This window comes from Homo sapiens, chromosome 3 (genome assembly GCF_000001405.40).
Source record: "Homo sapiens chromosome 3, GRCh38.p14 Primary Assembly".
NCBI lineage: Eukaryota > Metazoa > Chordata > Mammalia > Primates > Hominidae > Homo > Homo sapiens.
Genome location: NC_000003.12, coordinates 5,420,141 through 5,447,867, shown reverse-complemented (window position 1 = coordinate 5,447,867; position 27,727 = coordinate 5,420,141). Strand labels below are relative to the sequence as shown.

At 40.2% G+C, this 27,727-nt stretch overlaps 1 long non-coding RNA gene and 1 pseudogene across 1 annotated transcript, besides 2 other annotated features; one reads left to right on the top strand and one right to left on the bottom strand.

The window, feature by feature from the left end:
* MRPS35P1 (mitochondrial ribosomal protein S35 pseudogene 1) lies at window positions 765-892 on the bottom strand (annotated as a pseudogene).
* Window positions 6,321-10,197, top strand: LOC105376936 (uncharacterized). Its single transcript, XR_940567.3, has 3 exons — window positions 6,321-6,390; window positions 9,076-9,178; window positions 10,125-10,197. It is a non-coding gene; the product is annotated as an uncharacterized LOC105376936 (long non-coding RNA).
* Window positions 18,522-18,601: an enhancer, noted in NCBI's record as "active region_19387". NCBI's record gives its function as "activates an Ori minimal core promoter by ATAC-STARR-seq in GM12878 lymphoblastoid cells {active_cell/tissue: GM12878}" and the evidence as "EXISTENCE:reporter gene assay evidence [ECO:0000049][PMID:35858748]".
* Window positions 18,652-18,831: an enhancer, noted in NCBI's record as "active region_19386". NCBI's record gives its function as "activates an Ori minimal core promoter by ATAC-STARR-seq in GM12878 lymphoblastoid cells {active_cell/tissue: GM12878}" and the evidence as "EXISTENCE:reporter gene assay evidence [ECO:0000049][PMID:35858748]".

The window sequence follows — 27,727 nt, the reverse complement described above, 5'->3', positions numbered from 1 at the left end:
AGAGATGCACATTTAGAATCATTGTAATCTAACTGTAGAAAGCTGAAGTTAGTGGGTGCAGTGCACCAGCATGTCACATGTATACATATGTAACTAACCTGCACAATGTGCAGATGTACCCTAAAACTTAAAGTACAATAAAAAAATAAAAATAAAAAAATAAATCCAAAAAAAAAAAAAAAAGAAAGCTGAAGACAGAATCTTGAAAACAAAAGAAGCAACTCATCACATACACGGGATCTTTGATATGATCAACAGCGGATTTCCCATGAGAACTATTAAAAACAGAAGACTGTAATATGACATATTCAAAGTGCTAAAAAAAAAAATTTTTTTAATTAAAAAAAAAAATTTTGAGACAGAGTGTTGCTCTGTTGCCCAGACTAGAGTGCAATGGCATGACCTCAGCTCGCTGCAACTTCCACCTCCCAGGTTCAAGCAATTCTACTGTCTCTGCCCCCTGAGTAGTTGGGATTACAGGCACGCGCCACCATGCCCAGCTAATTTTTGTATTTTTAGTAGAGACAGGGTTACGCCACATTGGCCAGGCTGGTCTCAAACTCCTGACCTCGTGATCCGCCCACCTTGGCCTCCCAAAGTGCTGGGATTATAGGCATGAGCCACTGTGCCTGACCAGAAAAAGATAATTGACCAAGAATTCTATGTCTAGCAAAACCATCTTTCAAAACCTAAGGTGAAATTAAGGCATTCCCAGATAAACGAAATATGAGAGAACTCATTACTAGTAGATCTAACCTACTCCTCCTTTACTTTCAAATTTTTCTTAGCAGCTTTAATTTGGAGAAATGTTTCCAGGATTTTTTATCCCAAGGATTTATTTTCCCACATATATTCTCCCACATCTGCTTCAGTCTTATTTTGTTTCCATTCTTTGTAAACCTTTTTGTTTGTAACTACTGCCTTATCCTATTTGATTTAAAAGACAACTGCATGAAGCAATAATTAATGTATAAAGATATACTTTGTATTACAAGCACCAAGAATAAGGGAAACCTCAGAGCTACACAGGAGCAAAATTTTTGCATACTATTAAATTGATAATAAGCCAAACTAGATTTTTATAATGTGTTCATTGTAATCCCCAGAGCAACCACTATGAAAATTAATCAAATATAAAAGAAATAACTATAAAACTTAAATAATACATTTTAAAATATCTGTTTAACACTAAAGATGACAGTAATGAAAGGATAAGCCAAAAAAAGACATAGAAAAAAAGGTAAAATAGCAGACTTAACTCTTATCTCATCAGTAATTATATTAAATGGAAATGGTTAACTCACCTATCAAAAAATAGAAACTAGTAGGATAGCCTTAATATATCCTACCTACAAGTGGCACACTCACATACTTTACATTTAAAGGCACAAATACGTTTGGAAGAAAAAATACATAAAACATACACAAACAATAACCAAAGAGATCTGAAGTAGCTACACTAATATTAGACAAAATAGACTTTAAGACAAAAATTTCAAAGGAGATATTTTACAATGACAAAAAGGTCAATCCATCCAATCCATGAGGAATATACTTATAAGTATATATGCACATAACAGAGCTCCAAAATATACGAAGCAAAAACTGCCCGAATTAAAGAGAAATAGACAATTCAGCAGTAATAAAGACTTAAAACCCCTATTTTCAGTAATAAATAAGCAGAAAGAAATAGTAGACTTGAACAACACTGTAAATCAATGTGGCCTAATGGAAATCTCACTTCACCCAGCAACAGTGAATACACATTTTTTCTTTTTTTCTTTTTTGAGATGGAGTCTCACTCTGTAGCCCAGGCTGGAGTGCAATGGAGCAGTCTTGGCTCACTGCAACCTCCGCCTCCCAGGTTCAAGCGATTCTCCTGCCTCAGCTTTTTGCATAGCTGGGATTACAGGCAGGCACCACCACACCCAGCTAATTTTTTTATTTTTAGTAGAGACGGGGTTTCACCACGTTGGTCATGGTAATGAATACACATTTTTTAAAGTACACATGGAATACTCTCCAGCATAGACCATATGTTAAGCCATAGAACAACTCTTAGCAAATTTAAAAAGATTGACATCATACAGCATGTTCTCTGGCCACGGTGAAATAAAATTAAAAATCAGTAACAGAAGGAAATTTGTGAAAATCACAAATATGTAAAAATTAAACAATGCCCTGCTAAATAATTGATAAGTCAAAAAAGAAATCACAAGGGAAACTGAAATACTTTGTGATGAATGAAGACAAAACACAACATCCCAAAAGTTTAGGATATTGCTAAAGCAGTGCTTATAGGGAAATTTATTGCTTGAAACATGTATATTAAAAAAGAAGAAAGATCTGAAATCAATAACAGTCTTCCACCTTGAGAAACTAGAAAAAAAGAGCAAACTAAAAACAAAGTAATCTGAAGGAAGGGAATAATAAATATTAGAGGTGAAATAAATATATAGAGAATACAATAATATTTTTAAAAAATCAATAAAATCAAAAGTGAATTCTTTAAAAAGACCTTCAAATTGGCAAACCTTTAGCTAGAATTCCAAGAAAAAGAGAAGAGACAAGTTACTATAAACAAGAATGAAAATGTTGTTACTATTGATCTTACAGAAATTTTAAAATAGAACAGAATACTATGAACTGTTGCATGCCAATAAATAACCTCAATGAATTGGACACAAGCTCCTGAAACTGAGTCAAGCAGAAATAGAAAATATAAATTGATGTATAAAAATAAAGAGATTTCATCAGTAATTTTTAAAATCCCACAAATAGGCTGGGCGCAGTGGCTCACACCTGTAATTCCAGCACTTTGGGAGGCCGAGGTAGGCGGATCACGAGGTCAGGAGATGGAGACCATCCTGGCTAACACGGTGGAACCCTGTCTCTACTAAAAATACAAAAAATTAGCCCGGCGTGGTGGCAGGAGCCTGTAGTCCCAGCTACTTAGGAGGCTGAGGCAGGAGAATGGTGTGAACCCAGGAGACGGAGCTTGCAATGAGCTGAGATGGCGCCACGGCACTCCATCCTGGGCGACAGAGCAAGACTCCGTCTCAACAACAACAAAAATAAATAAATAAATAAATAAAATAAATAAAAATAAAATCCCGCAAATAAATGTCAGGAACAGATGACTTCACTGGTGAGTTCTACCAAACATGTAAGAATTAACAAAAATACCTCACAAACTCTTCCCCCTCCAAAAAAGTGAGGGGGAGATAATGCTTCATAATTCATTTTATGAAGCCAGTATTACTCTGATATCAAAAACAGACAAAAGATAAGAAAACTACAGACCAAAATCTCTTCTGAATATATATATGCAAACATGTTTAACAAATACTAGCAAACTTAATTCAGCCACATATCAAAACAATTACACACCATGTCCAAGGGATTTATCCCAAGAATTCAAGGTTGGCTCAACATATGAAAAATCAGTCAATGCAATACGCCATATTAAGTAGAACAAATTATTAAAGCATGACCTTCTCAATAAATGCAGAAAAAAAGCATTTGACAAAATCCAACACTCCCACAGAAAAAAATTAAAAATTAGGAACAGATGGAAACGTCAACATTGTAAAGATCATGTACATAAAAGCTCACAGCTAGAATCATACTCATTGGTGAAAGACTGAAACCTTTCTCCCTGAAAATCCAGCACAAGACAAGGAAATCATTTTCACCACTGATGTTCAACATTATACTAGATGTTTCAACCCAGGCAATTAGGCAAGAAAAATAAAGGACATCCAGATTGGAAAGGAAGAAGTAAAACTATCTCTATACACAAGTGATATGACTTTGTCTATAGAAGGTGTTTTTTTTAGCTATTAGAACAAATAAGTTCAGCTAGGTTGCAGTTTACAAGATCAATATATAAAAATCAATTATATTCCTATACACTAGCAAAGAGCAATCCAAAATTGAAATAAATAAAACAAATAAAAAAATATATATACATAGGAATAAATTTAACAAAAAAAGCATAAGCCTCCTCATGAAAACTATACAACATTGTTTTTAAAAAAGAAAAAGTAAAAAAGACCTAAATAGATTGAAATGCATCCCATACTCATGGATCAGAAAACTTAAGATGGCAATACTCCTTAGACTGATCTACAGATTTAATACAAGTCCTATCAAATAATCAGTTGTTATTTTTGCAGAAACTGACAAGTTGATCATAGAATTCATATGGAAATCCAAGAGACCCAAATAGCCAAAAACATCTTGGAAAATATACAAAGTTGGAAGACTAATATTTTCTGATTTCAAAACTCATTACAAAACTATACTAATCAGGACAGTATGACACTGGCATAAGGATACACATATTGATCAATGGAATAGAATTGAGAGTTCAAAAATTAACCCTAACATTTATGGTAAATTTCTTTTTGATGAAGGTGTCAGGACAATTCAATGAGGAAAAAAATTATTTTCAATAAATAGTGATGGGACAATTGAATATCCATATTCAAAAAGATAAAGTTGGACCTAGAGCTCACATCATATAAAAATATTAACTCAAAATCAATCACTGACCTAAAAGGTAAGAGCTAAAACTTTATAAAGAGCTAAAACTCTTGCAAGAGTAAGCCTTTGTGACCTTGGATTAGGCAAAGATTTCTTAGATCTGATGCAAACTACACAAACAACAGGAAGAAAAATAAAGCAATTTAGACTTCATCAAAATTAAAATGTTTGTGCTTCAAAGGACAAAGTGGTGAAAGATAACACACAATGGGGAAAAAATTGCAAATTATATATGCAATAAGGAATTAAAATCCAGAATATAAATAACTGTTACAATTCAACAATAAAAAAGCCTCAATTTTAAAATGGGCAATGAATTTGAATAGACATTTCTTCAAAGACATATAAATATTGAATAAGAATATAAAAACATGTTCAACATCATTAGTCATTAGGGAAATACAAATCAAAACAACAATGAGATACCACTTCACACCCATTAGAATAGCAAAAATTTAAAAGATAGACAATAACAAGTACTGGCAAGAATGTGGGGAAATCAGAACCTCCATACTTAGCTGGTGGGAATGTGAAAAGCACAGTCACTTTGGAAAATAGTTCAGCAGTTACTCAAAATGTTGAGCATAGAATTACTATATGACCCAGCAATTTCACTGCTGGACATAAATATGCATTAGTCATCTCAGTATGCCATAACACCACAGTCTAGTTGACTTAAACAACAACAGTTTATTTCTCATAGTTCTTGAGGCTGGGAAGTCCATGATCAAGGCCCCGGCTGATTTGGTTCTAGGTGATGGCTCTCTTCCTGGTTTGTAGATGGCCACCTTCTTACCGTGTACTTACACAACCTCTTCTTTGTGAGCCAAAAGCTGGCAGTAGAAGATGGGGGTGGAGGTGGGGGATAGAGAAAAAGAGAGATCTGTCTTCCAACTCTTACAAGACTACCAGTCGTATCAGATTAGGGCCCCACTTCTTTGTAATGCTGGGTACCCTTGCTCTTTCTGTAGCACTTGAGAATTCCCAAGAGATCTCAAAAAATTACCTATTTTCTGATTCCTTCTCATCAGGAATCAAATCATCTTCAATATGTGTGAAGTCCGTTTTTGCAAAACTTTATCAGTTTGGATAGTGTGTTGGCCACAGGCAATGATTCATCATTTCTCCTTAATTGCCCTTCTACACAGTCAACCCATGGCTGTTATCAGAAAGAGAAGGGTTTATACAGCAAGTCTGATTTTTTGTGCACTTTATAAGCAATAAATGAAATTAACATGCTTTTCACTTACTTAACAAGAAAGCTAATCAGTTCAGCAGAACTACTCATTCTCTCTCCCCGTAGCCCATCTCTAATGCATATGCCTTATTTCATAATTCTTTGAACTATAGGGAGAAATGTTCTTCACTGGCGTTCCCTGAGAAAAGATTCAAAGAACTAGATGATTTCATAGTACTTTCTCAAATGATTTTGACTTTTTTTTGCTTCTTGTCACTGGAAAAATTTTACTAATTTCCTACATTTTTGGATACTTAAAGACTAAACTCAAATGCATAGGTGAAATGGACTCAATTGTACAACTTCCCAAAGTCATAGGTTGAAGTCCTAATGCCTCCCCACATACTATGTGACTATATTTGGAGACAGGGTCTTTAAGGAAGTGATAAAGGTTAAATGAGGTCATAATAGTGGGGCCCTAATCCAATAGGACTGCTATTCTTACCAGAACAGGAAGAGACACCAGAGAGCCCTCTCTGTGCATACAGAGGCAAGACCATATGAGAATACAGCAAGGAGGGGGCCACCTGCAAGACAGAAAGAGGCGCCTCACTAGAAACCAATCCTGTTGGCACCTTGATCTTAGACTTCTAGCTGCCAGAACTGTAAGAAATAAATTTCATTGCTTAAGCCACTCAGTCTGTGGCATTCTGTTATGGCAGCCTTAGCTGACTGATACAATAGGTACATGGATGTTATCTCCTATAACTTCTATGTGGATTTATTTCAAAAGGGACCAGGAGGAGTGCAATTTTTCCACAGCCCCAATGGCCCTTTTACTACATGGTATTCCTGGTGCACTTAGTTAAAGGCAACAACAACAACACAACTAACCAAAACTTTGAGGTTAAATATGTACCACTGACTTTTGTTTTACTTTTTATTTTGAAATAATTTTAGACTTATAGAAAAGTTGAAAAAATAGTACAGAGTTCCTGTCTCTGTCATCCCTCTAGCAGGAATGAACTAACCTGCATTCTCACAGCAATGCATAGATAGTGCCTGTTTCCCCACAATCTTCACCAACAGAATCTGTTGTCATATTTTCTCACTTTTGCCAGTGTGATAAGAAATATCTCAGTGTTGTTTTAATTTTATCTATTTAGGGAATTTGAAAACTTTTCATATGTTTAAGGACCATTTCCATCTTTGTAAAAAACTGTTATTTTGGCCAGGCATGGTGGTTCACACCTGTAATCCCAGCACTTTGGGAGGTCGAGGTGGGTGAATCATGAGGTCAGGAGATCGAGACCATCCTAGCCAACATGGTGAAACCCAGTCTCTCCTTAAAAAAAATAAATAAATAAATACAAAAAATTAGCTGGGCATGGTGGCACGTGCCTGTAATCCTACCTACTTGGGAGGCTGAGGCAGTAGAATTGCTTGAACCAGGGAATCGGAGGTTGCACTGAGCCGAGATCGCGCCACTGCAATCCAGCCTGGCGACAAAGCAAGACTCCCTCTCAAAAAAAAAAAAAAAAAATTTTTATTTCTTCTTCTGATTTTCCTATTAGGTTTTTAGTCCATTGCCTCTAAATTTCTAAAAGTTCTTTATATATTAGGGATATCCACCTATGATATATGCTATGAATACTTTTTTCCAATTTTTCAATTGTCTTTTCACTTTGTTTTTTGTGAGGTAAGAACTGTATGTAGTCAAATTTATCACTTTTATTGCCTTTGAATTTTGAGTCATAATGTGAAAGTCTTCTCAGACATTAAAAAGGAATTCACCCATATTTTATTCTACTATTTGTATGGCTTCAGTTTTTGCATTTAGGTTTCCAGTCTATTTGCTGTTTATTCTTATATATGGTGTAAAATATGGATCTAACATTTAACTGCTTTCCAAATAGCTACCAAGTTGTTGGAGCATGATTTATTTAAAAATTTATCTTTATGCTATTGATTTGAGATGCTGCCTTTGTCGTATCTGACGTTTTCACATGTATTTGGGTCTCATAAGCATTTCTTTCCTAGGACATTAGTCCGTTTATCTATTCATGTGCCAGTGACCCACCAATTATCAAGGCGTTAGAGCATTTCACATCTAGTAGTGCTTACCCTCCTCTCAGAGCTTTTCTTTCACAGTGTTTTCCTTCTTTATTTGTAGATGTTTGCTTTACTAAGGACTTGTCTAACTCTGAAAAATAGCTTATGAGCATTTTCATAGGGATTGCATTTTGTCCTTGAATTTGGATCACAGATTTAAAAGATTCTAAGAAACTGTGGGTATGATCCCTCAAACTCTAAAGGGAGAAATGGCTAAATGGCACAAGACATTTAAAAATAAGTTGACAATAGAATTGAAAACTGTTCACTCAGTATGATAAGGTGGAGGAATCTAAAAAACTAAAGTGGTTTTTAGGGCACTCACTCTGAAGGTTAACTTCTTTTTAATGTATTTTCAACATCACTAAAAGCTTGCTGATTCTTTTTCCTTAGATTGTCTTTAGAACTGGTCCCCTTCCCTTTTTTGGCATCCACTGTCATTGCCCTAATGCAGCTTCTCAGCTTTTCTCTCTTGCATTCTAGCAACAAAGTCTTAAAATGTGTCTAATATCCTAAGAAAATAATAATGGTAATGACTTGTCTGAAACTGAACTCTCATTTCATGACATTGCAACTTAAAACCCTGTAATAATTCCTTGCTGCCTTCAGGAGACTTCCCAAATTCCCATTCAAGGCCCTTTATAATCTGACCTAGCTCAATTATTCTAGGTTTATTTTCCCTCTTTCTGCCATCCTCCTTCAGGATGTCACGTTGCTCATTTTCATATGTCACGTTGCTCATTTTCATATTTTTGCCTTAAATGCCCATAACATTCTTCTCCTATTGAAATTTCCTACACATCTTTTAGGATTCAACTCAAAAGGCCAATGTGCTGGGATGTTACTGTGTCTTCCCTATGTGCTCTGTACTTATTTATACCATAGCATTGATCAGCACTTTAGGGTACGCACCTACAGGACTTACTCAGTCCTCGCTATGAGGCCCATGACGTAGCATAGTCTCTGCAGCTTTGACAAATTGACAAAGGGAGTTATAGTGGAAGACAAACACATAAGATGAACTCAGTCCACAGGAATCTCAAGAAAGAAAAGCAGAAAATGAACTTAGACTTTAGAAATATTTTAAGAACGATAAAACAGAATTTGTCATGTATGTGTGGAAAAAGAACAGCAAGACAGGGATACACTCATGCATAGATTCTTAGTGGAAATGATAATAGACACCAGCCAAAGAGCATGGAGTGTCAATTCCTAACTTGCTTACATCTTTACCACAGAGAACGGGACCACCCATCTTGATGTACTATTTGTGCAAATAATGGAAAAGCATCCCTGTCTCAAGACACTTGACAATAACCTGCTAGAAAATTGTCATAACAAGTATGTCTTCATACACATATATATAAAAATTCATACAGAATATGTATAAGTTATATATTATTTTGAATATTATCTTATATATCACATATAACATAATATAGTTATGTATAGTACATACAGCAGCCCTATCCACAGGGGATATGTTCCCAGACCCCCAGTGGATGCCTGAAACCACAGATAATACTGAACCCTATATACACTACCTATTTTTCTATATATACATACCTATCACAAAGTTTAATTTGTAAATTAGCCATAGTAAGAGATTAACAACAATACTAATAAAACAGAACAATTAAGTACACTGTAATACAAGTTATATGAATATGGTCGCTCTGTCTCTCAAAATATCTTATTACACGGTAAAATACTCACCTATTTTCAGACCACAGTTGACCACAAGTAACTGAAACTGCAGAAAATGAAACATGGATAAGGAGGCACTACTGTATTATTAGTATAAAAATACTAATCTATGGTGGCTACATTGTGAATGGCACCTCCTAGAGTTGTGCAAATAGTAACAATAGAATTATCATCTGTCTGATAAAGTAACTGCAGTTAAGAGGGACTAGAAGCCTAAAGTAGCTAAGGAAGTTATACATCGTAGGAGATTGAGGCTCACAGCCAGGAAACACACACACAGTCTTCTGCAAGAGCTGATAGTTGCTATACAGGCACACCCTCGGGAATCCTCCAGCATTCACAGGGGATGGGAGAGCTTCCAGAAAGAAGAATGGAAAGGAGGATTTTGAAAGAGTAACTGCTGCCTAGAGGTTGGTTGTCAGCACAATTCGACATGAAATATTTTTAAAGATGTCTCAAGAGCATTTAGAAATGAAAATGCCTCTCTCTAGAACATGGCTCCCTAAGATTAAATCAGGCTATACTAACTTAACTGACTTTTCGATAATGTGGCCACACTATCTTGCCCTTTTTCATACAGACACACAATGGGCATTTATCAAGAGACAAGAGAAATGGCTTAGACAGATCTCAACTTCATCCAACTGTTTTTCAATCCCTCGTGATAAATTTCTGCATAAGATGAAGAAGCATGGTCTAGTTAACCGTGGAGCTACGTGCAGTTATTTTTAAAATCTGTAAGGTATGTTATTGGGTGGAAGAAAAATAAAAACAAGGTTAAAACAGTGTATGTGATGTCATCAACTGTATGAGAGAAGGAGAGAGTATGTATTTTATCTGCCTGTATATGCATGAAAACATCTCCGGCAGGACATTAAAGAATGTATAGTCTTTGGGAGTCATGAAGAAAGGGCAGAAGGGAGACAGAGATAAGAGAAAATCCTTTTGCTGTGTGATGCTTGTAATTTCTTAAAAACCATGAGAATGTATTATTACCTATTCAAAATAAATACAAATACACATACATATAATTATGTATCACAACTCATTTAGAAAACTTATCAAAAGACCATTAAAGGGATGGATACATATCTTCCCAGAGTGGGGACTCTGATGATAACCTCTCCCATTCAACAGATCCTCACCAAGTGCTTACCAAAAAGAATGATTATATAATTAAGGTTGGCTTAACCAACAACTAAAGAACCTAGGTCACTTCAGTAAGCCAAATCCCAAGGAACTCTTCAGTTTGAATATAAAATAAGAAAGTAGCATGACCATGTGGGTTAACAGAAGTGAACAGACACAAAATACATTAAAAATTAACCCAACTGTAAAAGAAATTACATGAACAATAAGAATAACAAAATTCATATAACTTTGAGCTACTCACATAAGCCAAGAACTGACAGTATTGCTAAGAAACTGGTTTACAGAGCCATTGCCAGTGAATGTATTTTCAGGTTGGCAGTTCTAAAAATATCTGATGGTTATGAATATGCAACTTGCTGAACATCATTATAGGTAGGTAGGAAAATAACATTAGTAATCATATAGCACTTTGAGATTATTTAGATGAAGGTTTCATAACTCAAACAACTTTCAGCAGCTTTCCTTCTCCAGTTTCCACCTTGCTACAACTTGCTGCAGAAAATCTACACTTTGTTCTTTTCATTTACAGTTAATCATATTAGAATAGATCTGGTAAGTAAACATGCCTCTAGAACTTAGAATTATTAACAATCCTGGAGAACAAGAACTTTAGTGCAATAATGTGTTAAGGTATAACTCAGGGGAATGTTAAAGCAAAAGTATAGGCTATGTTTTTGCCCACTCTGGCATAAAAAATTAGGAGTTTCAGCATTCCCAATAGGTAGCAAGGGGTGCCAAGGAAATCTGTCATGGACCAGTTGCAATAGCAAAGAGCAAAGCTGCGTCAACAAGTCCCCTGCATAAGCTGGTCCAGGAACCTCTCCTCCCCTCCCTTTTATTTTATGAATTAGCATGATTGGAAAGGAACTAACAATTGGAGAAGAAACTGGGAAAGTTATTTTAGAAAATCCCCCTGGAAGCTTCTTATTCTGAATAAGGTATGGATCAGAGCACTCATCCTTGGTTCCTATAGAACATGGGGTGTCATGCAACCAATAAATTATCCTGAGATTCTGCCCCACAGAGGATCTCTGTCATATTTTAAGTTGCCCCCAAAACCCAGAATCTTCCAAAAGTCATGACTGCTCTGGAAATGGTCTGAGTATGAAGACGTACCTTATATGATGTTATAAACATCTTCCTAAAGATCTCAGTGGGGCCAGGTGCAGTGACTTGCATCTGTCATCTCAGCACTTTAGGAGGCTGTGGCAGGAGGATCACTTGAGACCAAGAGTTTATGATTAGCCTGGGAAACAAGATCCCCATCTCTACAAAAAATTAAAAATTAGCTGTGCATGGTGGCATGCCTGTAGTTACTACCATTACCTGGAAGGCTGAGGCAGGAGGATGGCTTGAGCCCAGGAGGTCGAGGCTGCAGTGAGCTATGATCGTGCCACTGTATTCCAGCCTGGGTGACAGAGCAATATCCTGTTTCTTTAAAAAGCAAAAAACAAAAATAAAAACAAAAAAAACAAAAAAAAAAACGATGAGGGAGTACTTGCTATGCAAAAGAATTTTACTATAAATTCACAGAATTTTATTGTGATACTACAGAATCATCCCTCGATCTACCTTTAGTCATCTGGTTCTTGATGTCCCAGGAATTATTCAAACATAAATACTTTGCCCCAAAGTTTATGTTTCTGCAATATAAGGGGGAAATTCCTAGCCATGTAATATATCCAAGTTCACGTATCTCAGGAATACACATTTTCCTTAAGGATTTCTGTACGTGACCTGGGGCATTTTAGCCAGCTCAGCATACACATGAATAAAAATCACATCAGGGAAAGTGAAAAGTAAAGGGAAACATTTACTTCTATTATACTTTAAAGCATTATAATTACATTTACCCTGAATGTATTGGACAAAAAAAGTCAAAGATAATATAAGCCCCAACCCCATTGTATATAAACCAGAACCACATGATCCCTAATAAAGCATAAAGGCATATTTAACAGTTCAATTTTTTTTTTCTTTTTGAGACAGAGTCTCGCTCTGTTGCCCAGGCTGGAGTGCAATGGCACAAGCTCAACTCACTGCAACCTCCGCCTCCCGGGCTCAAGCAGTTGTCTCGCCTCAGCCTCCTGAGTAGCTGAGCTTATAGGCATGCACCACCATGCCTGGAAAATTTTTGTATTTTTAGTAGAGATGGGTTTCGCCATGTTGGCCAGGCTGGTCTTGAACTCCTGACCTCAGGTGATCCACCTGCCTCGGCCTCCCAAAGTGCTGGGATTACAGGAGTGAGCCACTACACCTGGCCAACAGTTCAATTTTTCTAACATATACTAAGCATCTATTTTAAATATAGCAGTGTGATACTTCCTGTGGGGCACACACCACTAAATTGTCAGTATCTCCTCACTCCAGTGCTTCCGAATTGGTGGGGCATGGGGGATTTACACTGCCTAAGTATACCTGAATCAGAGCCACAATGTGACATACTTTCATATTTCTAGTTCCCATGCAATCAATCCAAAAGCATTTTCATATAGTCCTTTTGAAAATCCTTTTACATGAAAGTAGAGATTCCTGGTAGATTTTCAGTTTTGACAAAGCAGTCATTAACAAAACCCCAACTACGGATGCTAAAACCAGACCTAGACTTGACTTTGGAAGTAAAGAACCTGCTCCTCCCTTAACATTTACCATATCAGTAAATGGTACCAACTACCCAGTTGTCCATGCTCAAAAAATGTCATTCATGTGTCTTCTTTCTTCAACTCTCACATCCAGTCCTTCAGGAAACGCTCATCTTCCCCTCCAAGTCAGTCCTCTCCCTACCTCATGTATTACCACCATGGTGCAAGCTACCATTACCTCTTGCCAAAAATCCTGCAATAGCCTCCTTACTGGTCTCAGGATTCCATCCTTTTCCCTCTATAATCTCACAGTTTAAAGCAACCCTTTAAAACCTGAGTTGACCATTTGTTTTTATAAGTAACATTTGATTGGAATGCACCCATTTATTTTACATTGTCGATGGCTGTTTTCATGCTCAAGCAGAAATACTTGTCATTCAGCTATTTACAGTTTACTAAGCCCTCTTTTAAAGTATAAATCAGATCAGGCCATCCATCCCCTTCTAAAAAAAAGCTCAATAATTGATCTTTACAGCTGGAAGAAAATCCAAACTTTCTTCCTTTAGTCTACAAAACCCTAAATGAACTAGCTCTTACCCCACCACACCTCTCTGTCTGAGTCTGCCTCCTGCCCACATTGCGGGAGTCACACTGATTTTTGCTCCCAGTTCAGGATCTGTGTAGGGCATCCTGTTCCCTCTGCTTGGGACCCTTCTCCAGACCTTTGCCATTCTGGATCTAGCATTAAGAACCCCTTGCCTCTGGCCACCCAATCTAGATTATTCCCTCTACTTTAAATCATCGTGCTTACTTGCGTGCTTATGCTTTATCATAGCATGTAAACTTCACAAGGACTGGGAGCATATCTGATTCATTCACAAGTCTCCCTAGCATCTAACAAAGCATACATATTAGGAGCTCATAATATAATTATATCAAATGAATGACAGAAATCCTACTGGTTCATCAAATTTGGTCTCTTTTCTATGCAAAGGGCACTACATTCTAACCAAGAGGAATGTACATCTAAAAACCCATTATTGAGGAATTAGGGGAATTGCTTAGATGAGGTGGACATAACACAGGCACCAGAATCACACTGACCAGGGTTTAATTCCCAGCTTCAACACTTACTCACTGGATTCCATTTCCCAAACTGCAGTAATGCAATTTTTTTTTTTTTTTTTTTTTTTTTGAGACAGAGTCTCGCTCTGTCACCCAGGCTGGAGTGCAGTGGCACAATCTCAGCTCACTGCAAGCTCCACCTCCCGGGTTACGCCATTCTCCTGCCTCAGCCTCCCGAGTAGCTGGGACTGCAGGTGCCCACCACCTCGCCCGGCTAATTTTTTTTGTATTTTTAGTAGAGACGGGGTTTCACCATGTTAGCCAGGATGGTCTCGATCTCCTGACCTCATGATCCGCCCCGCCTCGGCCTCCCAAAGTGCTGAGATTACAGGCCTGAGCCACCGCGCCCAGCCTAGTAATGCTATTTATCTCAGGGTGTCTTGGGGAAGATTAATTTATGTGAACACACTGGCACGATGATTTTACAATCTTTGATCACATCTCTTCCCAGCCAAAACTGAACACCCTTCACTTTTGAACCTGTCCTAACATAGGGTCCTTGACATGAAAATTGCTTGTGCTAGAAATAAAAAAAAAGCAACACATAAAAATAATGTCTCAGATGCAAAGGCATTAAAAAGTCCTTCTTCGTTCCCTAACAGAACCATTTTTGTCACAGAATTTGCATCCTTTATGTAATTCAAATACAAGCACCTCTTTTTCAGTCAGCTGAGATGTAGTTATACACTAATATTTTCACTTCTAGAGTCATTTTTTATCAAAGAAAGCTTGGCAGATGCAGTAATGAAGGCAAGACAGGGTTTACTATTGCTTCAGATCCTAGCAAATGCCTTCTGATGATATCTACGTTATCTCATGATGCATGGAAACAGGCTCCTTTTGCTATACCCTGTCTAGGAATGCATATGAGTTTATCGCACTCTGCGCCATCAGGAAATCGAGTCCAGGAAAAAAAAAAAAAGACATCAAGTTTATGAACTCAGTTCTGGTGCAGGTAATTTTAACCAGACAGAATTGCTGAAAAACCAGTCAGCCATCTCTGGCTTGTTCCATAGGGTCACACAGCGCCATCGCTTCTCAAGAAGCAGACCTTGAGACAAGAATTTGAGTGCAAGTAATTTATTTAAAACAGAATCCTAGAAAACACCAGTAGGGGAGTTGAGAATGAGACAGGGAAACAAAAATAACCAGTAAAAAGCAAGTTATTATTAGGGGGTAACTGGAGTTTAATATCCCCAGGAAACTCTGGGGCTCAGAGTATCCCCAAGTTATCCCTCGTAGGGGCGAAAGAGCCATGGTATTTACAAACTGCCTCTAGTAAGTCACTGGACGATGGCTGTTCCCAGAGGGCACTAATTCTCCAACACCAGGAGCAGAGTGTGCTCAAACCACCAAGGCAGCCTGCAAGACAACAGAAGCAGAAGCTGACAACTGAAAGTCTGCCCTACGTGAAATATGATGGAAAGTCTAAAGGGCTGTAGGAGGAACACAGGCAGTATCTGCCCACAGGCCATCTATGAGTCACTAAGTCTGGTTGGATACATGCAACTCCTACCCTGAGACCAAGGTTCAGAAAGGGGATGTGGGGGAAATGTTGGAGTGATTGATTCGCCTATTGCATGTTAATTAATTACCTACTACATGACAGAGGACATGGTCATGAAAAAGAACATTTATAACCCCTGCTTCTGCTTCTCTTTAGCACTTGTGTTAGTCAGGGTTTGACAGGGAAACAGGACCAATAGGAGACAGATTTATCGATTATGAGGAACTGACTCATGTAACGATGAAGGCTGAGAAGTCCCATGAACTGCCATCTGCAAGCTGGAGACCCAGGAATCCCAGTGGTGTAATTCAGGCCAAGTCTCAAGGCCTGAGAACTGGGGGAGCTGATGGAGTAAATCCTAATCTGATGGCAGGAGAGGATGAGATGAGAGATGTCCCAGCTGAAGCAGCTGGACAGGAGAAAACGGGGTAAATGTCTCTCCTTCCTCCACCTTTTGTTCTATTCAGGCCCTCAATAGACTGGATGATGTTCACCCACATTGTGATCCACTTTACTGGGGTTACCAACTGAAATCTAATCTCATCCTGCAACACCCTCCCAGACACACCAGAATGATGTTTCATCTGGGCGCTCCCTGGCCCAGTCAACTTGATGTATGAAATCAACCATCACACCAATCCATGCCCCTCTGCACACCCTAACCTCAAGCAAGCCGGCTCCTTCACAGGCCCATGCATCCTCACAGGTTCTGTTTGAATGACATTCTCCCTTGAAAGGCTCCTTCATCCTCCTCCTGGGCTCAACTCAGCATTCAGCAGCCTGTGTTCCTGTAAAACTTCGTGTCTCTACTAATGTTTGTCAAGGTATATCATAATTCATTATTTTATATCTGTTTGCTCCTACCAGGCTCCAGGTTCCTTAGGGGCTAATAGGGTTGGGCTGTGCATCCCCACCCAAATCTCATCTCAAATTATAATCCCATTTCAGGGGAGGGGCCTGGTGGGAGATGACTGAATCACAGGGGCAGGTTTCCCTGCTGCTGTTCTCATGATAGTGAAAGAGTTCTCACAAGATCTGATATAGTTTAAAATTGTGGCACTTCTCCCTTCACTGTCTCTCTGCTGCCACCATGTAAGACATGCCTTGCTTCCCCTTTGCCTTCTTATTGTAAGTTTCCTGAGGCCTCCCCAGCCATGGAAAACTGTGAGTCTTTTATTTATAAATTACCCAGTCTTAGGGAGTTCTTTACAGCGCATGAAAATGGACTAATACAGGGGCACAGAGACTATAAGCACTCAGCACCGAGCAGGTACTCAATAAATGTTTAATTGAATTGAACAAAAGGAGAGTCATAGCAGAGGGACAAATTAAATCAGAATGACAGTATTCTAAACAATAAGATAGACCATTTATAAGCAGAAAGATGTTCATTAAGAAGTGTTTATAAAATATGATCTTAAATAAATGTACACATATATGCAGTAAAAGATAATAAGCAACCACATTTTAACAGTGAACTGACTTTTGGTTTATCTATATTTTCTAATTTTCCTGGCCATTAAAGCATATTAACTATATAATATAAAAGTTAAGTGGATCTTTAAGAACAATGTAAGCTCTATTATTGAAAAGCGAGGGTCAGGCCAGTGACAACTAGCAGATCTGCAGGTTAGACAAGGAGGCCAATGAGCAATCAAATACTCAGGGCCCACAGAGGAGATGACTTTGAAATGGAGGCAGCTTCTGTCTTGGATACAAACCTTCATTTCCATCCTATGATGAATCCATCCTATGAGAGCAGAAGCCAGTGACTGGTTCTCAGAGTGAGACCATCTGGGACTATGTGGGAGCTAGTCTATTAGGTTAGGGACATGGTAAGAGCCAGGCTGAAGGGGACTGGGGAGACAGGAGATGAGGGTGTGGATCCTCACTGCTTCCTGGCTCTTGGTTTCCTGGTCTTGTTCCCACCTTTCTCATAAGCAGCCCCACCTTACAAACTGAGTTCTTGATTGTGTGCAGAGCATCAAATAAACAAAGGGTGGGAGCTGAAATAATCCAATCCCCAATGATCCACTTCTCTATCTCTTAAAACACTGGAATATCAAATGAGAAAGGCCTTTAGTGATCATCTTCTTCAAATGTCTGGTTTTACAGATAGGAAATATCAAACATCAAAGAAGAGAAACATTTTTAACCCAAAGTGGTTATTTGCTTTCAATTAACATGCCAAGTTGGTTAGATAGGGGGTAGCTGCTGGAAGTGCTATTAGAAAATATCTCTGACTCCACAATCAGGCCCAACTGTGAAGAGAGTTGAGTTGATTAGTAATGTCTGCCCAGGGCAATGGACAGGGCATAGGTGGCCCACAAGCAGTCCTCTCCTTAAGCCCTCAGCAGCAGCAGCAGGAAAATCTAGTACTTGTAATAGAAGCCACACATGGAAGGAAATGGCACCATACACAAATTTTCTAACTTAATAGAAAGCTGATGCTTTGAAAGATGACATGATATGCTCAAAGTAATTTAAATGGCAAGCAATAGAATACGGATTCCAATTCAAGTCAGCCTGCTCCTAAAACCCAAGCTCTTGACCATTATGCTATAGGATCCTCCTTGGCAACTGTCCCTTTTACATTAGCCCTTGATGCACCTTGCTCAGCTCTCACAGCTCTTCTAAAATAGCCTTAAGACTCATCTACTTCTGATTTCACTAGCCAGTGCTGTTTGCTTCACACACAAGGACCAGATGTCCCAAATCAATCTTCTTTCAGGTCGAAAGTTTGCCATTTTCTGAACCTTTACCACAGAACCTCTTTTACATGTCATTTGGTTCCAGCCCTTCCTCCTAACCTGCTTGATTTATTCACATGGGGAAGAATGACTCACAAGTTGCACGCAGACAAACCCAGCTGTGTACCAGAGATAATTATTTCAGAGTAATTAAAATGAGCTATGGGCTGCCAAACTGAACACCAGAACGTGATTCTGCACTTTCTCTCTTATCTGCCTAGTCCGTTTTCTTCTGTCAAAGGGACTGCTTGCTAGGATGGGGGCTCCCCAGCCCTAATACATTAATCATCACACTTCAACTGGCTTATTAAGGGATCGTCTCTACACAGAAGACTTCCTACAGCTCGACAAAACTGTAGTCTGAAATCAGAGGGCTCCAAGGTGACCACTTACGCCACTTGCTGTTGGTGAGCTCCCCCATCATCTGTCCCAATCTGACACCAGAGTGTCACAGGACAGTAGGAACGGTGGGAGAAAAGGAAAAAAGCAGCTGGGACAAAAGGGAGGAGCTGGATCTCAATGCAGCTGCCCCTCCACCCTAAACCATTGCACTGACGTTCTATAGCATGGGTTTTAGCTCCTCCATATAATGACCTTGAGTTCCACTCTGTCTTTAGGTCCCCTCAAGCAGAGCTGAGATGGAGATGTTTGTGCAAGTGATTTACTGAGGAACTGCTCTCAGGGAAACCTACAGGGGTGTGAGAAAGATGGGTTAGGGCAGAGGAGCATCAAGGCAAACCATACCTCCAGAAAGCTCTCAGCCTGGTGCCATGAGGGCTCAGAAACGTATATAGTTTGTATCGCAGAGTTGGAACCACCAAATAGCAAGGGAAGCGAGTTACTGTACTCTTCCAGGGTCAAGAAGCAGCAAGGATTCACTCTCCTTTCCTGTCTCTCCAGTCCCCTCCAGCCTAACTCTCTTACCATGCCCCTAGCCTAACAGACTAGCCACCACATAGTCCCAGTTCTTCCCATTCTGAGAACCAGTCACTGCTATACTCTTCAGTCATTACCAAGGGCCACCTCTGTGTCTGCGGGGCAGAAGGTGGACTATCTCCTGGCCTGGCACTCCCATGAGCCAAGAACCACCCTTGGAAAAGAAAGGTAGGAGTGAATCGTTAGCAGGCAACACCCACAGCAGCTGGGAGAGGGGAACGCCAATAAGGTAACAAGGAACTGAGTGGGACACTAACAGTGCCTGCTAAACTCTCTTAAATTGTTTTACTTCATTTAGACTAAGAACACTGAACTTGCAAAGGATCTCAAGTCAGGAGTCCTGAACCTGGGGTCTATGGCCCCCAAAATATCCATGCTTGACCTCGGGGATTATGGGATCCCACTAATTAGAGGATTATGGTTTGCAAAATGTGCATAAACATCATTGACACGGGACAAGGGACACAGGTCTCATTTGATTGTCTGTAAAGTAGATGACCCTCTTGGATTCAGAAATTTTCCTCTGAATTTCTTCACAGCAAGGGCAGCTATAACCAGCCTCCTCCATGCAGCTTTCCCTGATTCTTCCTAGTAAAAGTGAATTGCTCCTTTTTTTTTTTTTTTACCTGGAGTGTACCTCAGAGGCATATCTGGGGGCATGGGCAGTAGACACTACCTTACATATTCCAAAAGTAGCAACTTTTTAAATTTGAAGATGGTGATGACAATGATTAAAGCTAAAGTTTATTAAGTACTTGCCATTGTCCAGTTGTCATTCCAAATGTTTGCATGTACCATCTCATTTAATTTTCAAGCAGGAATGGTTATCCTTGGAAGAAGGAATGGTTATCTCATTCTCTCATATAAGAAAACTGAGACATTATGTAACTTGCCCAACTTCCAAAAGCTCGGAAGCAGTAGAATCAGAATCCGAGCTCACGCAGCCTGACTCCAGAGCTGCAAGGATGTTAGAGGAAGCCATGTAAAAATCAGCAGCTGAAGCATCAGGGCTCAGACTCAGAGCAGGGAAGAAGACACACAGAGGACTGGGGGCCTTTTAATGCTCCTGTTTCCCCACGACCGATGGCACAGGCTGTGCCCTTGGGACACAAGTACTCAAACTGCTTATAAGCGAATAAATTAAACAGTTTAATGAGATAAATTGAGTAGACAAGTACCTAGCTCAGTTCCTAGCACCTGGTAGGAGCTCAGTAAATGGTTAGCTTACCTTCTATTTAAAGAAAGAAAGCTACTTTTATCCCTTTTCCCCCAGATACTTCACAGTGTCTCAAAAAACTATGTTAGGTACAAAACTACTGAATTGAATTAAATGGGTGTCAGAAAGAGGAGGATTGCAAAATTCAAATCAGATAGTAGGAGAGTATTGAGGAAGGAAAGAAGAAACGAGAGAAAAAAGGAAAGAAGGGAAAGGAGAAGCCAAACTTCTATTGCGAGAGATATACCCAGCACGTCCAAGTCAGCGAGATGCCGCTGACACACATCTGCAATTTGATTTGAAAGAGCCCAGTGTAACTTGCATCTGTAATTGGATTTTCCTGTGCATGCCCAGAGCGGAAAGGGAAAATGCTCACCTGAATTGGAAAGACACTGAATGAGAATGCATATTCATCTTGCCCCTCTCCAAGCCAGTACTCCCACTCCCTGTTTTTTCCAGACACTTCTCCATAGCATTTTATCACGCGCTCCTTTAATCAGTCAACACCACAGCGCCACCTACCGTCCCTGGATGCACACGGGTGAGGTAGGCCTCGGCTTGGACCTGAGGGAGATTGTAACGTGCTAGACTAGGGCCCATTCATCAGTCCTGTGACAAGCCTGGCTACAACGAAATTGCCACTCAGCATTTCCAGTGGCAGACTCGCTCCCCTCCCCTTCTCGATGCCAGGCTCTTTCTCTCCACCGAAGCATTTTCTCACCGAGTAAATGGGTAATTCAAAGAAAAGGAAAGTCTCCCAGGAAATTCGACATGGTGCTGGACTGGTCACGGATTTTCTCGTGCTATGACTAGGAGGATTTGTGGCTACAAGGAAAAAATGCTCAATAGAGCTAATCACTCCGGCAAGTGGGAAGCGACCCGGTAGGCTGACATGCACGTCTGACTGGCAACTATTGAAAGATTTCATTTGGTTTCAAGCTCTAAAACTATACCAACAATTACAAAATGAGTTTTCTGAATGCATGGTGCTTGCTTGAGCAGGCTAAGTAAACTGCTCTTCAGTTACCCCAGCTGGGTTCAGTGTCTTCTCAGGGAGCTGCCCACAGGCACCTGCAAAACATGTCAACCACCACGACTGACAGTACCACCGGCCAGTCATACAAATGGCGTTGTGTCTGAGATCTCCCCGCTTCTCAGCCCAAGTCCACCTTGTCCATTCTGCTGTGCAATGCTGAAACTGTTTCCCAAGCACCCTCATTAATTGACTTCCAGTTAGATTCTGTAGTGGGAGATACTGGAGGAAATAGGAAGGAGGGAAAGTGACTTTCTTGTGTTTTCAGCTCATCCTGGCCTTGCTGCAACCCATCAGATAGCTCCTGCATCTTTCAGTATTCAGGGCATTTGCCCCTCAATGTCCTACCCTGGGGCCCCTGAGCCAGCTAAGTACCAAACATACGGCAAGCTCCCAGAGACTGGCCACCAGCCCTGCGTACGGCAGCAAGCTTCTCTGCCCCACTCAGCACCTGGATTTCTGTAACATCATGTTGTCCCGAGGGTGGTGACTGCTCCCTCAGTGATTCCTGTGCCGCTTCAATGTCTGCTTTTTATCTTTTCCGTCTTCCCACACCATGTAACCAACTCCCTTGATTGTTTCCCCTCAGCTGGAGATTTCTGGACTGGTTTTGATTTCTTGACTTTATACAGCAGATACTGTGCACAGACAGTCAAGGGTATAAACAGTGAAATGTTTTTGAGAGATCAAGAACTGGTTTATGAGTCCTATATGCTTTTTTTTCAGGATGCCTGTTAAGAGCAGGCAGATAGAGGCCAGGCACAGTGGCTCACCCCTGTAATCCCGGCACTTTGGGAGGCCAAGGTGGGCAGATCACCTGAGGTCAGGAGTTCAAGACCAGCCTGACCAACATGGAGAAACCCCATCTCTATTAAAAATACAAAATTAGCCAGGCATGGTGGCACATGCCTGTAATCCCAGCTACTTGGGAGGCTGAGGCAGCAGAATCACTTTAACCTGGGAGGTGGAGGTTGCAGTGAGCCAAGATCACGCCACTGCAGTCCAGCCTGGGCAACAAGAGCAAAATCTCTGTCTCAAAACAAAGAGGAGGCAGCTGGGAGCCAGACAGATGGGTGGGGAGGTGTCTTTAAACCCTGACTACGCCACTTACTATTTGTAGAACCTTAGACAAGTTACATGATCAAATGGCCTCAGTTTTTCTCATCTGTAAGATGGGGATAGTCATGACACCCAATGCAATGAGTGTAAGGAAAATTCCAGGTTCTGGGTTTATTCAGAAAACTACTACCCTGAACAGTCTGCGAATCCTTGAGCTGATAACAGAGATTAAATTCCAATCGAGAGAAGTCTCATGCAGGAGAGCTGCAATGGGCAAGGCAGGGACCTGACTGACAATAATAGCTACATTTTGTCTCTGCCTAGTATATGCTAAATGCTTTATATGCACTGACTCTCTTAACTGGGACAACCAACATGTAAGATGGATAGTATTGTCTCCAATAAACAGATAAGGAAACCAGAGCTCGAAATGGATAAAACACACACACACCTCAAATCACACCAGTAAGGAGTTGGCTAATCCCCAGCCCCAGTCTGGCTAAGTAGTTCCAGAGCCCATGCTCTTAACCATGAAGCTGCCTAGTAGAAGAATTGATAAGGTCACAAGCTAAGAAAGTAAGGAGAATGGAGCAAGGACAGATACGTGGAAGCCATGCACGAAACAAAAATAGCAAACAGGGAACGTACTTAGTACATTTCTTTTTTGTACACCTCAGGACAGAGGTTCCTGCATGAAGGCATCATGTAAGACCAGGTTGCAGGGATGTCCTGGCAAATATCGAATCACTTAACTATTATAGGCTCAAAGGCTTTGAACCCCTAGGGTCCTCTCAGAATTTTGAGCTTTGAAGAATTCCAATATTAAGGAAGCCCACTGAGAAAATTGGCTCCCATGAGACTCTCCCCACCAGGCACTCAGTAGCCAGTTCCACACAGACCACCAATAACTGATTCCAGCAGTGAAAGCAGGTGCTGGGTCTTATGCATAGAGAACATAGCAGTGTGGTGCCATATGTATGTGAAAGTAGGTTGTAATAAGTCCACACAAATCACTGGGTTCAGTGCATGCGTGCTAGAAATAAGCTTTTCATCTACAAGAAAATCATTGATCATTGCTAATAAAATAAGTAAGCACTTCCTGTATCATAATCAACTCTGCCAAGGCTCAGCCCAGTGGGGCCCATCAGAAGCTTTGTAATAAGAATGAAAAGTTACAGAAGCCTTAAACAATAGAGCAGCTGAGAAAAGGCCCCACTGGACTTGGGCGGTGCCAGAAATCCTGGCACAGTGAAATAGGGAACTGGAGGGAGGGTTCATGAGATAGTCAAAAACATCTTGGTTGCCTGCCTGCATTTGCTGGAAGGGACTGTTTTACAAAATGCTCACCGCAAAAATCACTGTCAAAGAAAACTCCCACTCCTACCCACCCACCCACTTAGTGGAAAGAACTTCTAGGCACTGGTGGTGAACAAAGCCACAAGAAAGATCACAAAGGTGGAAGATGATCCCCCAACCCAGAACACCAGAAAGGATTTTTATGTGATAGCAGTCAACATTCCTAACCCTAACCAATACACCACATGTCCCAGGCAGAGCAAGTCCCAACTTTAGTTCTTCTCTGCAGAAAGTAGCAACAGGGACACAAAGCAAACAGCAGGGTGGGTCTGGGGACTTCCTTCTGGAGCTTCCTCTGGGTTATGTTGGGTCATCAGGGGTGACCACAGCTTGGCAATAGCACAAGTGAGAGCTTCTGAGTGAGAGAGAGCCGGACGCTTTCAATTAAATAACTTGCCACTTTCAAAGCACGCTGAGGAGGAACACATCTCACCTGACCCCGTCAGTCACTCCCTTTTATTAATAACAGAGGGTTTGTGTTTTGACTCTTCTCCCTGGAGGATCAGAATGAACACTGACAAGATTTGGTAGCATTTCAAGGTTGGCAACCTCTCAATAGCAGCTTACAAATATTAAAAAAGAAAAAAATACTCTCATTGACCAGCAGCAAGAATGTAGGAATACGAAAGAAACTATTATTCCCATGACATTTAATCAGTCTGCCCAAGCACCAGAACAAACTATCCCCTATCACTACTTATTGGTGATGGTACCCAGGGGGGATGGTGGTATAAAATACTGAGGTTTTTTTTTTGCAGTTTGAGTAAGAAGTATTTATTTTTGTCACTACCTTACTGTAAGTCTATTGTATTTTTTTTTTATTTTTTCTTGAGACAGGATCTTGCTTTGCCACCCAGGCTGAAGTGCAGTGGTACAATCATAGCTCACTGCAGCCTCAACCTCCTGGGTTCAAACGATCCCCCTGCCTCAGCCTCCCTAGTAGCTAGGAGTATAGATGCACACCGCCACACCTGCTCTTTTCATTTTTTTTGGTCGTGGTGATGGGGAGTGGTGGAGGTGGGCATTGAGACACGGTCTTCCTTGTTGCCCAGGCTGGTCTGAAACTCTTGGCCTCAAGCGATCCTCCCGCCTTGGCCTTCCAAAGTGTTGGGATTATAGGCATGCGATACCATACCCATTGTAAGCCTATTTTAAAGATGATGCTGGCTGCTGGAATAAATGAGCTTGAAAGTATCTGTAGCTTGACTTGAACTGACATTCATATCTTGCTCACAGAACAGTCTATGGAGGGCATTCCTGATCTGTGGTCTGCTTTCATCCACCTGGTAAGTTAAGAAAACAGGCTACTTCCAACTGTCGCTCTGCCATCCCTGAAGGTCTTGGAGTTGGCTTCCAGCTGGCAAAGAAGAATAAATGCGTGTACAACGTACACACACTGCTTACAGTTCTGGGCCCAGAAATGACACCTCACTTCCACTCACACTTCAGAAGTAAGATCCAGTCTTTGGATCACATCTAGACAGAACAGATAGAACAAGGAAATGAGGTCTCTAAATGAGTAATTCTTAGCAAGAATTCTGTATCACGGAAGGACAGACACAAATATCAGGTGATGACTACCTGCCTCTGCCATACTCAGTGGACCTGGATTTCCATGTCTACGAACATAGAATAAATTTACTTTTAAGTGAAATGTAAGAAATGAGTCAATTTAAAGAAAAATATACATGTATAAATACTAGTACAGATGGTGTGTGATTGACCCCAATTTTCAGAGTGAAAGAAATTTAGAAAACTCAAAACTGTTACACACAGGAATCCCCTTCTCGCTGTTAATAGAGGTGGCATATTTTCCCTTCAAATCTTCTACCCCCATCAGAAGACCTTTGTTTTAAATAGTTGATAGCAGCAGTTCAGGTAAGTTTTTGGAAGAACAGTTAGCCACTAGAGCTTATCAGCAACAGGTAAGGTGAGTCTCTCTCTAAAGTAGAATTTCCTTAGCTATTCAGGCTGATGAAAATCTTCAACCATATCAAGTCCAGACCCAGGGCACTCATAAAGTTTTCATTTGTTTGTTTTGGTTTGTTTTTTGTTGTTGTTTTGGAGATGGAGTCTCACTCTGTTGCCCAGGCTGGAGTGCAGTGGCACGATCTTGGCTCACTGCAACCTCCGCTTCCCAGGTTCAAGTCATTCTCCTGCCTCAGCCTCCCGAGTAGCTAGGATTACAGGTGTGCACCACCAAGCCCAGCTAATTTTTAGTAGAAACAGAGTTTCACCATGTTGGCCAAGCTGGTCTCGAACTCCTGAGCTCATCATCTGCCCACCTCAGCCTCCCCAGGTGCTGGGATTACAGGTGTGAGCCACCGTGCCCGGCCAAGAAAGGTTTTGTATTACAGTTGTTTTGTTATTTTTACAAACATTTATCTAGTAAGAACTTATTATTAGTTTCCTCTTTATCAAGTGCATTTGTCTCTGTCACCTTTGTCAAAGTGCCTGCATGTCATACTCTTTTCCTCTGAAAATTTGCTATTTCTTTCAGGGCTATTTCTTTTGTGTGTCTCCTCAATGTCTTGCACAAAAATTACATTTTCCAAAACAACTGTATTTACTGAGTGTATTTGTCAATTTTTGCTGCAATGTAGCTATGTAATAAAAATACCCTAAATTCAGTGGCTTATAAAAACCAGCATTTATTTCTCAATCCTGAGTCTGCAGGTAGGTTGTAACTCCACTGCACCTCGCTGGAATAACGTCAAGCTTGGCTCCAAGCTGCAGATTGCATTCTGATCAGCTCCACAAGCCATTTTACTCTCCTTCAACTGGTTACCTAAAACATATTCTTTTAATGCAGGAGGCCAAACTAAACCACACAAGATTGTTTAAAGTTCTGTTTACTGTCATTCCCTCTCATATTCTATTAACCAAAGCAAGTCACATAACAAAGTTCAACACTAATGGGGTTCTAGTCCAGGGAGGCACCAAAGACGATTGACAAGGAGTGCAGATATATCATTCTCTTCCTGGGAAGGAGTAAAGAGTTGGAAAAAAAAATACAATCTGCTTCCCAGAGAAATTTTTATTTCCAAAGCATCCTGAGAAAATCCCACACACAAGCAGCCAACTCAACTAACAAGGAATTAGATGAGAAGAAATGAAGATCTTTAAGACTTTGCTATAAAACCAACCTGTGACCTCACTTGGAAACAAACCAGATCATTTTTTAACTTTTCATAAAGTATCTCCACTTGCATTTCATAAAGCAGTTAATGTCAGATCATCTCAGAACTGATGGTAGCAGAAAAGCTCATTCATCATTCCAATCTACTCACGTTTCACTGGTAAGATCTAGTCACACAGATACATTGAAAAGTGAGGCCAGTAGACAGTTCTCTTTGGTGATGAGGATTCTGAGGTCATGTCTGGGTTCATCAGGAAAGCTTTCCACAATGTATTTATGATGTCTGTGTTTCCAAGGGGCAATTGCAGCATATGAACACGAGTCAATT